Here is a 14,075-nt window from a genome sequence, read left to right on the forward strand (position 1 = left end):
AAGCTTATCTTCTCAGCACTGCTCAAATGATCCTGCATGGTTCCTACTTGCTATGGTTGTGCATACACAAAACATTGCATGTTCATAGGATTGCAGTTTGAGAATGGCATTTTATTAGAAATGTGTGATTTTTGAACAGAACATTAATTTTTCATTTAAGCTTATATATTTTACCAAATAATTATTAAAATGTTTTTAAATTTTATTACATTTGGAGGTCACTATTTTCTCAGAGATACATATGTCCAACTTTATAATTAGCTTATGGAAATAATAGAATTGGATACACACAAATGTAATTATCATGCACTGAATACGTTTTTCTTATTAAGCACCAAGTGATTGTGATCTATGGGTGTTCAATTATAAGGTAGACATAAAAAAATAAGTACCAGGGAGAAAATGAGTTTATTTTATGTATTTATTTACTTATTAGAGATGGAGTCTCTCTCTGTTGCCCAGGCCTGTCTGCAACTCTTGGCCTTAAGCAATCCCCCTGCCTCAGCTGAGATTACAGGTATGAGTCACTGTGCCGGTGGTAAGTTCATTTTAGAAAAGAAAGGGAACTCAATAGCAGAAGTAAATTTTTTTCAACAAAGGGAGTATTACAGGGATTGCAATAACTGTTGTATAAGAGCAAAACTTCTGAGTTAGCACACAAAAATCAATAATCCTTATATAAACAAAAAATAATCAGAAAACAATTTATAACAACAATAAAAATAGTAACATGCTTAAATGAACTTAAATCTTTTCTAGAAATACTTAAACCTATAAGAAGAAATCTCCAAACCACTCTTTAAGACCAATCTTGAACAATGTATAGATCCAATAATTCCTTGTTCATGGATATGTCTCAACATCCATACATATGCTGATTCTTTTATTTTTATTAGTGTTACATTTAATTTATATATTATGTAGAAGAAATAACAAGAAATAATATTTAAGTAAACATTTAAAAATAAGTGCAATTAGGTAGTACTGCTAGATATTAAAATGCACACAATTATTTATAATTTTCAGAACATGAAATTAATCAAGATTAACTTTAGTCGGTGAACGGATAAATAAAATATGTACATCTAGACAATAAAATATTATTTGATTTTTTTTAATGAGCTATCAAGCCATGAAAAGACATCGAGGAAATTCAAATGCAAATGACTAAATGAAACAATCCAATCTAAAAAAGCTACATACCATATGATTCTAACTAAATGACATTCCAGAAAAGGCAAAACTGTGGAGATAATAAAAAGACCAAGGGTTAGGAGAAGGGAGAGGCAAATCGCTGGAGCACAGAGGATTTTTAGAGCACTGAAACTACTTTGTATGATGTTATAAGAATGGATATATAGCATTATGAACTTTTCCAAACCCACAGAATGCACGAAACCAAGAGTGAACCCCAGTGTAAACTATGGATTCTGAGTAATAATGAGTAGTCAATTTAGGTTCATCAATTATAGCAATTGTATCATTCTGATGGGGGATGTTGATAATGAGGGAGGCTGTGCATCTGTCGGTGTAGGGAGTATTTGGGAAAGCTCTGTAACTTCTGCTGTGAACCTTAATCTGGCCTAAAAAATAAAGTCTATTTTTAAAAAGTATACTATAGAGTCTCTATAATCAAAATGGCATGATACAGATTCAAGAATATATTAATAGATTAACAAAATTGTATGGAAAGCTCAGAATAGACCTAAGTACAAATGAAGATTTAGTAAATATTATATATGGTATCTTAGGCTACTGGAAAAAATATAGTCTTTTTAAAACATAGTGTTTGGAAAACTGGATAGACATTTAGAAAAGAAAAAAATTGGATCCATTATTGATCTAGTAGAACGTGAAAACACTCTACTTGGATCAACAGTCTAAACGGGAACATGCTTGGCTTTCTTTATAATGTGTGTGGAGACATTTCTAATTATGATTCACTATCAAGTAGCTATATAAAAATTATAAATTCAACTTCATTAAAAATTTTAAAATGCATGCTAAAACAGAAAAATTGAAAGACAGGCTGGACAAAAATATTTGCAACTTACATCACAGAAAATAAAATGCTAATATCTTTCATTTAAAAAGAGTTATTGAAAATAAAGTGAAAATAACATGGGAAAATGAAAAATGAAGAGTTTAGAGAAAGTATATAAAAATGGTCCTTGAACATATGAAAAGGCACTCTAACTCACTGACAATAATAGGAATGCAAATTAAAACTACACCATTATGCTATTTCTTACCTACCAGATTAGCAGAAAATCAGTGCCTTGAAAACACATACTATTGGCTAGGCTTTGGGAAAACAGACACTCATAACTGTTGATGGTAAAACCCTTGTTGAACACAATGTGGCAATATCTAACAAAGCTGCCGATGCATTTACACTTTGATCCAGAAATCCTCTTTCTAAGACTTTGCTTGTATATACCTTCCTGCAAATAACAAAACAATATATGCAAAAGTTTATTCACTGCAGCATTAATTAAAATAGAAAATATTGGATAAAAACGAAATGCCCATCTATAGAAGACAGATTAAATAATTTACAGAACAATAAAAAGATAACTAGCTATTAACTTATATGGAGTATTTCCAAGATACATGGTTAAGTGAAAAAAAAGCCTCAAAAAAGTGTACATACTGTGGTATCTTTGTGAATGAGCATAAAAGAAATTTGTGTGTGTGTGTATGTGTACAAATAAATGTTCTCTATTATATATTATTTAAAATGTATAATATGTAATACATCACACACACAGAAAAGATAAACAGAAAATAATGAAAAAGGTTAATTATGTGTGTGAGTATGATGAAGATGCAGGAATGGAAGTAACGTCTTCTTTATCTTTATAGATAAAGGACATCTAACAAATATGGAAAAAATGATTGAATTCTAAAAATGAACTTTATTCAAACGAAAACGAAAACACATCATCAGAACTTGTTCAGTCCCTTGCCTTCTCTGAGCGTTATCAACAAATGCTAAAACCATTGTGTGGGGGATTGTTGGAAAACTGGACTTTCCTACCTATTCAAGATATCACACAAGTATAATATTAATTACTAATAGAAAAGAATTTTTCTTTATAATTCGGAGATTTAGCAGCCAAACTTTGAATCATCAATGGTAGGACAACTTGATATAATGTTCTTAATGTGAAACAACAAGAAATATACATAGCAACTGTGTACTATTCTTGCCAAAATTATTAAACTGAATTTACATAAGAAAAAACAAGAAAGGAACACATTGTAAAAGACCAGAGGCCTAGAATGGTCAACAATTCAATATAACGAGAAAAAATATAAGGGACAGTTCAACATTAAAAGAAACTAAAGAGACATAACCAAATTCAATTTACACACCACAATTGGATCCTGGAGTTTTACAAAAAGATCCTAAAAGACAATTTTAGAACAATTAGGGAATTTTGAAGATGGACAGTATATTAGGTGATATTTTAAAATTAGAGTTAATTTTCTTAGATGCAACATTGGTATAGAAGTTATAGAGAAGAATGTTTTTATTCTTAGGAGAGTCCTGCTAACATATTTGTCAGGTAAGTTATGAAATGCCTACAAATTATTTTCAAATTGTTCAGCAAAAGAAAAAAAAGCATATGTATTTAGAGAAAGAAAATAATTTTGGGAAAAATTTAATGTCTAAATTTCTCTAGGTACAAGTTGCATTGTGCCTGTAGTAAAATTCCTCCAACTTTTCTGTAGGTTTGACTTTTTTCCCAAAATAAAAATTTACAAAATGAAAAAAACTCTTTTTGTACTAATAATATAGCCTGCTTTTTTTAATTAAAAAATTAGAGATTAATCATCTGATGAATCAATATTCAAAGGAGATTTTCAGATACAGTCCTCATATGTTTGCATGCCAAACTTCACTGCCAGCCATTTGCTGGAATTCCTCTAGAGGACATGGTTGCAAAAATGAAACTTAAATTGAGAAACATCACAAGAATCCAACCACTTCTGAAATATGTTATTTATGGGTTTACTGAAATACAGACGTGAAGGGAAAGTCTAATTGTAAAATATTCATCTTCAAATGCCTCAACCACCCCCAGGAGCACTGTATCTATCAGGGATTGAAATTGCAAGAGAAAGGAAAACAAGGTTAAAAAATCAGGTGTATCCTGTTTGGGAGGGTGTGGGATTATATGGCATCATCAGAACTTGGTCTGTCCCTTGCCTTCTCTGAGCTTTGCTTTCCTTTGTGTTAGTGGAGTTCTCAGGCTGGCTTGCCATTTCTGCTGACTAGATGTACACCGGCTGCTCCCATCTTACTGCTATCTTCTCTCAACTTTAATAGCTGAAGAAAGTTTCTTTCACTCCTCAGATTCCTGTCTGCTCTGAGTATCCTCTCTTGGCTCAGATGCCAGTCCTAAAGAAATGCCTGTGGTGAGGGTCATATGAGACTATGATTTATTGGGCTCACATTGCCCACATTTAAAAGAGGAATGACACTATAGCACTAGGGCTACTGAAGTGAAAGAGGAGAGGATGTTTCCCAAAACAGAATTAGAATTCTCTTAACATTAAAAAGTGGGAGAGTGCTGGGAAGGCAAAAACAACAGCTGTCAACTATCAGCACCATGGCCATTTCTGGAGCCCTGAATTACACATTTTATTTTATGGTATTTTTGTCACATTTTGTGACTTCAAATAAGCTACATGAAAATTTCTGGATATTTTAATTTTCTTTTCTCATCAGTATTCTCCTATATATTTTTATTTTTATAGGATGAACCACCTTTGACTACAAATTTCTTGATTTCACACTTATCCTTATGAGGTTAAAATATTTCCTACTTGGCACAACTCATTATAAATTGTAAATCTTTTCTGTATAAATTTGTTTCTCAGTTTTTATGCCATTTAATTTCTAGTCATATTTCTACAAAGTTAAATTGATATAAGGGTGAAATACTAACTTCCAAAGTAAAGAAATTCTGATTCAAGAATGATTCATTTTTAATAGAGAACAAAGTTATCACAGTAATACATTAATTTTCTTGAGTGTAAGGTGGCCTTTTATTCTAGTAACAACATATGTCCATCACTTTTGCCCTTCATTAGTGAGATAAAAGAGTGCTTGATGAGCATGAAAGGGCACCATATTATAACCATTACATTTCTACACAGCAGAAAATGAACTAAAAATATGAAATCATCTTGTAAATATGAGTTGTATAAATAGCTATTCTTCCTATTATGGTTAAAAAATATGTATCTAAGAATTCATTATGATTTGCAATAATATACTAAAACCTAATCCATTAGATCCTTCTGAATCTTTTGTTTTATAGAAGGATATCAATCAACTTTTCTTTCAGCCAGAGAACCACAAAATCTCAAAGGCTTACACCTTGTAGTTCTCACCCATCACATGAATGCCGAGGGTCAGCTTCAGTTTGGCTGAGCATTTCTGGATTTGGTTGGTTGGTCTTATTGTGCTTGGCCTGTCTCTTTGTGTTTTCTTATTGCAGTATCCAAGTGGAAATATTAGCCACAACTACAACATACTTTTAAAATTCCAGAGGGCAGAAATTAAAGGTGACTGATAGAAATGTAAAATATCTCTCACAGCTTCTAATAAAATGTGGCATATGTTATCTCTGATTACATTCTCTTGGCCAAAGCAAGTCACATGTCAAAGCCCAACATCACTGGGGCATGAGATTATATGTCTCCCATGAGTGGGCACAAGGCATAAGTGAGGGATTGGTGAACATTTGGATAGCCATATTATCTCCCATAAAAGATATCCAAGAAGCTGACTTGTTTTGCTGTGCTTGAAGCAGAGAGCCAACGATTTATCCACCAATTAGTTCACATAATCACTGTTTTAATGTCCACTGTGAGTCAGGTCCTTATTAGGTGCTCCCTTGTGACATGAATTTAAAACACTAGAAAGAAACAGAAAACATATGAAATTGTTCCTATCAAGGTGTTTCCATTTCTTTGGACCAGGGGTTGGCAAAGGTTTTCTGTAAAGGACCAGATGTTAAATACTTCAGGGTTTATGGGCCACATACAGTATTTATGAAGGCTTCTTCTTTCATCTTTCTCCTTCTCCACATCTTCCTCCTGCCCCTCGCTCTCATCCTCCTCTTTCTACAGATTCTTTAAATATGTAAAAAAAAAAATTATTAGCTCTCATATTGCGTAAAAATGGGCCACCAGACAGAGTTGGGGCACAGGCTGCTAGTTTCTGCTTTAAGGGAATAAAATGGACAAACATGACTTCCATGACTTATATTAAACACAACTACATCATTGCAAATACAAGTGTGTACTCTAGTTTAATTAACTTGTAAATTTATTGGTAAATCCTCTTTTAATTTGCAATGTCCCAAAAACTGAGAGAACAATATAAAATCACTATATCAAAAAGTACTTATGACAGGGCCTGCATGGCTATGACAAATACATTTCCCTTAGTTGCTCAGCCTTATTCTCTTAATAATATAGTTTATGCATTAGCTTCATGCTCAATTTTTCACACGGAGTCTGTACTTCTGAGACAGTTTATCTTGAATTGGGAATGAAGAAGATAACGAGCATAGTATATAATGGCATGAGCTGAGTTCAGGTCTTGGTTTTGTCATTTGTTAGCCAGGTGGGGAATGTTTATAATAGCTAATTTATGGCCTTCGTCTGATAATCCCAACATCTGTGTCATTTTGTGATTGTATTTTCTCTTATGACTTTCCTGGTACTGTTTAGGCAAGGTAATTTGAAACCAAATTATAGATATTTTAAATATTATGTTTTCAGACTTTGTGTCTCATTTAAATCCTAAAGAGGATATTGATTTTTTGATTTGTATTAGGCAATCTGATTATGTAGAAGTTTAGGCCACAAGTACCAACTTGCTTTCTGTGGGTTCTTATTCCCTCAGTTCAGTCTTCAGAGCATTTGCGGTACTGTTTAGATCACACCACATTTGTGCCCCCCAGTGGCCAAACAGTGAGTGGAAGCCTACCCTGGGCTCAGTTTCCAAAATCTTTGATATCATATTTAGGGTGAGATCCATGAATGTGCAGTTTGGAGGTGAGCTGAGGAATTCCTACACAATTTATGGGATTTCTGTTGATCTTTCTTCTTTCTGTGACCTCCACAACAATTTCTACCTTCCTGAGGCCACCCTTTCCTGTCCTCTCTCCAGAAACCTAACTTCTTCCTCTTCCAGACACTTCCTAAAAGCGTGTTTGTATTTAGGACCAAATGGTGGGAGGACAGAGGGTGGGGGAAAAAATGGAAATTTGCTTCATGCTCTGGGGACCCCAGATTTTCTTACCAGAGAGCAGAATTTTCCTTTCTCAGGGTTGTGGGGGACTGCCTGGCAGCCACTGCCATCACTGTGCAGCTGCCTCCCCACCATCACAGCTGCCTGGGAGCTAGAACAGGAGAGAAGGAAAAAAAGTTAAAACAAAACAAGCCATTTCTTTCATTTTTTCCAACCTTCGGTAGTTTCTTCCTCCTCAAATTGGAGAACATATTTCTCATAGACCTCTTTCTATCTGTGCTTGGTATATGCATTTCCAGACTTGGGCCTGTTTTTAGTCCAGGTTGGGTAATACCAGAGGCAGAAAGAAAACACTATAAACTTACCACCAGTTCCACAGAACTTTGAATTTTGAAATTCTGATGTCCTTCCCCAATACAACTGCTACTGTGTGCTTTTTAGGGCCTCGGATTGCTGTTCCACGCATTCTGTCTGGAACTTCGGATTGTTTTCAGTGGGAGAAACTGAGTGAAGTGTACTTACGCACCTTCCCCAGAATCTGAACTCGAAGTTCCTTAATTTTTAAATGGGCAAGGATGAGAGTGAAATGAAAGGTGGTAGAAGTGAGGAAATAAGGGAAAGTATTGGAAATGGCAATATATTCCCAGGCAAGAGGCTACAGGAGGAAAGCACCAGTGCATTAAGGAGAAAAGCACTTGCTGACATACAAAGGTGTTTTTTGTGATTGATTTGTCCTAATGAGTTGACTGGAAAAGCAAAGAGTTCATCTCAATAAACATACATGTGCATGTGTCTTTAGAGTAGAATGATTTATAATCCTTTGGGTATATACCCAGTAATGGGATTGCAGGTCAAATGGCATTTCTAGTTCTAGATCCTTGAGGAATCGCCACACTGTCTTCCATAGTGGTTGAACTAGTTTACACTCCCACCAGCAGTGTAAAAGCGTTCCTATTTCTCTACATCCTCTCCAGCATCTGTTGTTTCCTGACTTTTTAATGATCACCATTCTAACCAGTGTGAAATGGTATCTCATTGCGGTTTTGATTTGCATTTCTCTAATGACCAGTGATGGCAAGGGGCGGGATAGCATTACGAGAAATACCTAATGTGGATGACGGGTTGATGGGTGCAGGAAACCACTATGGCACATGTATACCTATATAACAAACCTGCACGTTCTGCACATGTATCCCAGAACTTAGGTATAATTTAAAAAGAAAGAAAGAAATATCCTGTAATCCCATGTGAAAAAAAAAAGGAGTTCCTCTCAAAGAATAAGCTGGACAATGAATCTCACACAACGCTTATTTTAATGAACATCTTAGAGCTCTTAAGAGTCAGTTGCTGCTGATAAAACTTTTAAAGACAAGGATAATAATAAAGGACATTAGTCATATTCTCTTACGCTACTTGGTGTCCCCTATTATAAATAAAATAACAAATACGGTATATGTTACAAGGACAGAAGAAAAGAAAAAAAAGTGGAATCTTAACTTGGGAAAGTTCAAGCTGACTAATACTAACAGAATAAATGGTTTTTTTTTTTTTTTTTTCTTGAGATGGAGTCTTGCTCTGTCACCCAGGCTGGAGTGCAGTGGCGCGATCTGGGCTCACTGCAACCTCCGCCTCCTGGGTTCATGCCATTCTCCTGCCTCAGCCTCGCGAGTACCTGGGACTACAGGTGCCCGCCACCTCGCCTGGCTAATTTTTTTTTTTTTTGTATTTTTAGTAGAGACGGGGTTTCCGCGGGTTAGCCAGGATGGTCTTGATCTCCTGACCTCGTGATCTGCCCACCTTGGCCTCCCAGAGTGCTGGGATTACAGGCGTAAGCCACTGCACCCGGCCCAGAATAAATGTTAAAATGATCAATAAATAAGTAACAACAATGATTAAAACAACAAAAAATTTGGAGATTATAAATCTGCCAATATTCCTTCATCAAGCACTGTCCAGTAATATCAAGGCACCTGGTTTGAAAATACTTCCCTTTCTGTTTAAAAATGTCTCAATAACTGGCACCTTACTATTGGAGGAGTGGGATCTCCATTTTGATATGTGCTTATATTAGAATTTTACAGGTTCTTCACTTTTTCTTGTTTGCACTATCAGAGTCAGGGACACATTTGCTATCAGTGTTGTTTTCAATGTTCCAATATGAAACCAGATATGGGCAATTTTCACAAGCAAAACAATTTTCTTCTTGCATCCCCACGTAAAATACAGCGTGAAGATCAATAAGAGGAAGAGATCTCAAATGGCGCTCTGGAAAGTTAGCAGAGCCTGAGTCTTCATAGATTCCTAAATTTTAATTTAAGATGTTTCTATGAAAAATTGCTGGTATTTTGACAGATATTCAGTGCATATAGAATCAATACAATTTGATAATTACCAAAGTTTTTATTGCCCCTGAGGTTATATGTTTGTTTACTACACCCAAACTTCAAAGAAATTGAGTTCTTGGAGCCAAATTTCATAGTTACAGTTTCTTTTATTGACACTAATACATTGTACAGTCAATTGTAGACTGGTCAAAAACTCGTAAGTGGCTCCTGAAAAGGGATTTAAATTGACATAAACTACTAAAATTTTGTCTAGATACCTACTAGAATATGGGGAGATTTTTGGAGATATCTTCAAAACAATTTCATTCAGATTTACCTTAATTGATTTTCCACAGCTATAAAATGTATACATATGTTTTAAGATGTATTTAAGAACTTGTATCTGTGAGAGCCTTAAAAAATAGCAGTAATAGTAGCTCAGCACATTTATAGACTATAGAAGCAATAAGAAAATCAATTTATTTAGAAACACTTCACCTTCAAGTTCTTGCCCTTCAACCATGTACACAATATATGAAGACTTTAAAGATACAGCAATTTAATCACAAATGTCTTTCGCTGGCCAAGAATGGTACTTTCTGTTGTCTCTCTTTTTCTTTTTCTCTTCTCAAAGACACGTGAAGTATAAGAAAAACTGCCAGATGTCACAAACTGCAACCCTGATAAACACAGTGCAGTTTGAAAAACAGATGGAAGTGTCTGAGGCTCACCTCATCTAGTAATGCTGTTCTTCCTCTGCTGTGATTCACACAAGGTGATTATCGTGGAGCCCAGATGCTGGCTCTGCAGCTACCACCTGGTGCTATACCTTCTCTCAGGGTCCTATACTTTGTGCAATGAGTTTGAAAACGTTTAGGCCCTGCTGAGCATGTGTTTTGTTCTTTGGGTTTTTAAAAAATGATTAGTCAGTAGTGAAATGAAATGGGCTATGAAGACAGTGAATAAAATATGACAGGGAAGCAAAGACTTTTTTTTTTCTGAAGGAATGTTAGCATTTGTCTAAGTACAAATAGGAGAGCTCAGTGACCATTTAGAATGCAGGTTGAAGTGAATTTAAGAAATTAAATAGAATTTAATGATAATGATATTCTAAGATGTAAATCTCAAAGATGGATCTTCATGAGAGCAGAAATTTTAGATAGATCTAGTGCACTTACACGATCTGTCCTATGATATGAAGGCTTAAAGTAGATGTTTTCTCGCCAGATGATTTACATGTAAGAGTGAAGGCAAACAATAAAAGTGAATTAAATATTGCTAGACCAGAGGTCCCAACAATTCAACTAGTCTTATAATTGGAGGAATCAAGGAGAGGTATATTATTGGCTAAGGACCCATCTGGGACAAGACATCCTATCGAATATTTAATATTAAACCCTGTTTCAAGTTTACAAATTTAACAAATACTAGGTGGGTAGATCCGCAGGTGAGGTTTGAGGCTGAACACAAGTCATCATTCAATCACTTAGTAGATTTACTTTGGTGCACTTACTTTCCAAGGCCCATGAAGTGTGACACACATAAGAAGATGAATTAGATTTAAATCAATTATCAATTATTTGCTAATTGCATATACTTTTAAAAAGTAGATGACAGATTGGGGGAATAGAGAAAAGGACAGAAAAACTGCTTACAGTGTTGAAGTAACTAGCACTTTGATTTAGGATCTAAGACATATATAAGAGATCAATAGCATCTTATTGATAGAAAGCAAGACCTTCTGAACAAATAGTAATAGAAGTTTCTAATAAGAATGATGACCATGCATATGCATATTATGACTCCAGTGCTTAACCCGTATTAGGTGACTCATTCATTAAATGAGATGACATACAGAACAAGCTGGATTAGAATAAAATTATTTCTGGCCAGTTCAAGAATTAATGGATGTGATTTGGTAGAAAAGCATGGGAGAGAAATTTATGCAAGAGAAATTGTTAGAAAATAATAGACAAATTATGCATAGCACTTACATTTGCAATGTCTAAAAAGAATACACTAAACAACTGACTCTAAATTTAAGACATGGGCAATGGGAGGTGCCATAAATTTCTTTCATAATTCGTAGGGTATAAATGCTATATAAGGAAAAGCATTCTTGAAGTCATACGAAGCTTGAGTTGTAACAGCAATTACTGAAAGTAGAAAAACTGAAGACACTTGTAGATATTCCAGCATTAGTTGAAGAACAACTAGCATAGATTATGGGAAAGAAATACAATGATCGGACACAGTATGTAAAGACCAATTTGCATATGAAAATAGAGAAAAATAATAAAAGTAAATGAAAGAATACCAGATTAGAGATCCCAAGCGATCAAACAATATCTTAAGAATAGATATGTTATTGGCTGGGGAGATACCTGGAAAAGGCTGAATTTTTAATGTGACTACCTCTTTTAAGCATATAGATTTGACAAATGCTGTAATTTTGCCGTATTTGTTTTTACAGTTTTCATATAAAGAAATAATACAGAAGTCTTTGAACCCCCCTATTCCATTCACTCCCATCCCCCATGATTAAAGGCAGGCATGAGTCTAAAGTTATTTCGTGTTTACAGTCTATGTTTTTATGCCTTCATTAAATTTGTGTGGTTCCATAAAGTATTGATTATGCATCTTCGAAATGTATTTAAAGCTTTCATTTTGCACCTTACTTTATTAGCTCAGAGTTACTGGTTACCTATGTAAATACTTGTGATACAGGTTTCATTCATTCACTGACTCATTCACTGTGGGTGGGTTTTTACTTTGTTTATTGTATCTTTGGTCATACAGAAGTTTCCAATTTTATTGTCTAATTTATCAGTCTGTTCTTGTGGGGTGTGTACTTTGTATGTCTTGTCTAAGAGATTCTTCCTTGCCTTGAAGTCATAGAGTTTCTTGTTATTTTTATATCGTTTGGTTGTACTGTTTTAAATTTAATTATGAAATGTGGGAGTTAAGCTGAAATTTCTGTACAACACGCTGCATGAGGTCAAGGTACAATTTTCTGCTTTTTAATATGGATAGCCAATTATCCGTTTATTAGACAGTTAATATTTTCCTGACTCATGTTCAATGCCACCTCTATATATATGTGTGTGTGTGTGTATTCTTTTTTTTTTTTTTTTTTTTTTTTTTGAGAGGGAGAGGGAGTCTCGCTCTGTCGCCCAGGCTGGAGTGCAGTGGCACAACCTCGACTCACTGCAAGCTCCACCTCCCGGGTTCACGCCATTCTCCCGCCTCAGCCTCCAGAGTAGCTGGGACTACAGGCGTCCGCCACCGCACCTGGCTAATTTTTTTGTATTTATTTAGTAGAGATGGGGTTTCACCCTGTTAGCCAGGACAGTCTCAATCTCCTGACCTTGTGATCCACCCGCCTCGGCCTCTTAAAGTGCTGGGATTACAGGTGTGAGCCACCGCGCCCAGCCGCCACCTCTATATTAAGAAAGATTTTATGTCTGCGAGTGACTCCCCTGCCCCTGTATTTGTTATCCTTGCACCAATACCATATTTAGATTTTTATAACATCATAATAAGTATTTATAATACTACCACTTGTTAAAATCTACCAATACTTTGCCGATATTTTAACTGGATTATGTTAAATGTATAGATTAATCGTGGGAAATGTGATATATTTGTGGTATTGAGGCTTCCCATTCAGGAAAGAATATATCTCACCACTTAAGTCTGACTTCATACTCTTCAAACACTCTTTACAATATTTTATATAAGATATTTCTATTATATTTAGCTGGATTTAAATATAGATTATAATTTTAATGCTTTTTTTTTGGCGGGGGGGACAGGGTCTCACTATCACCCAGGCTTGAGTGCAGTGGTACAACCACGGCTTACCACAGCCCCGGCCCCCCGGGCTCAGGTGATGCTCTCACCTCAGTCTCCTAAGTAGCTAGGACTACAGACTCCCAACCCCATGCCCTGCTAATTTTTGTATTTTTCGTAGAGACAGGGTTTTGCCATATTGTCCAGGCTGGTCATGAACTCCTGGGCTCAAGTGATCTGCCCACCTCAGCCTCCCAAAACGCTAGGATTACAGGCAAGAGCCACTGCGCCCAATCTTGATTTTAATTTTTATGGTTGCTAAAAACCAGGATTTTCAAAATTTTAATACTATTGGATTTTTACTAGTGAACAGAAACACCTTTTTTTTTTTTTTTTTTGCATCTTTGTTTTATATATGTATAGCAAATTGTAGAACTCCCTGAGTAGTTTCAAAAGTTTGCATCTCGGTTCTTTTTGATCATCTACAGAAGCAATCCTATCAGTATAAAAGTGTATTACTTTCTTTATAAGAATTATGGCTTTGACTTATTTTTATTTACTCACTGCATTGGCTGGAATTGCACAGTCCTCAATAATAGCCTTTAGTTACATATGATTATTTACATTTAAATTAATTAGATTCAAATAAAATTAACTACTTAGTTCCTCAATTACTATCCACA

At 35.1% G+C, this 14,075-nt stretch overlaps 1 long non-coding RNA gene across 2 annotated transcripts in view; it reads right to left on the bottom strand.

The window, feature by feature from the left end:
• Positions 1 to 1,098: 1,098 nt before the first annotated feature.
• The window catches only part of LOC107986626 (uncharacterized), a 97,612-nt gene continuing 84,635 nt past the window's right edge, over positions 1,099 to 14,075 (bottom strand). Inside the window, exons 2-3 of one of the 2 annotated variants that reach the window (XR_001744263.2) lie at positions 7,328 to 7,427; positions 1,099 to 6,150 (exon numbers count right to left, since the gene is read on the bottom strand). This is a non-coding gene — a long non-coding RNA (uncharacterized LOC107986626). The remainder of the gene's footprint in view (positions 6,151 to 7,327; positions 7,428 to 14,075) is intronic. The other variant, XR_001744264.2, reaches the window with a different exon arrangement.

Source organism: Homo sapiens, chromosome 6 (genome assembly GCF_000001405.40).
Source record: "Homo sapiens chromosome 6, GRCh38.p14 Primary Assembly".
Classification (NCBI taxonomy): Eukaryota; Metazoa; Chordata; class Mammalia; order Primates; family Hominidae; genus Homo; species Homo sapiens.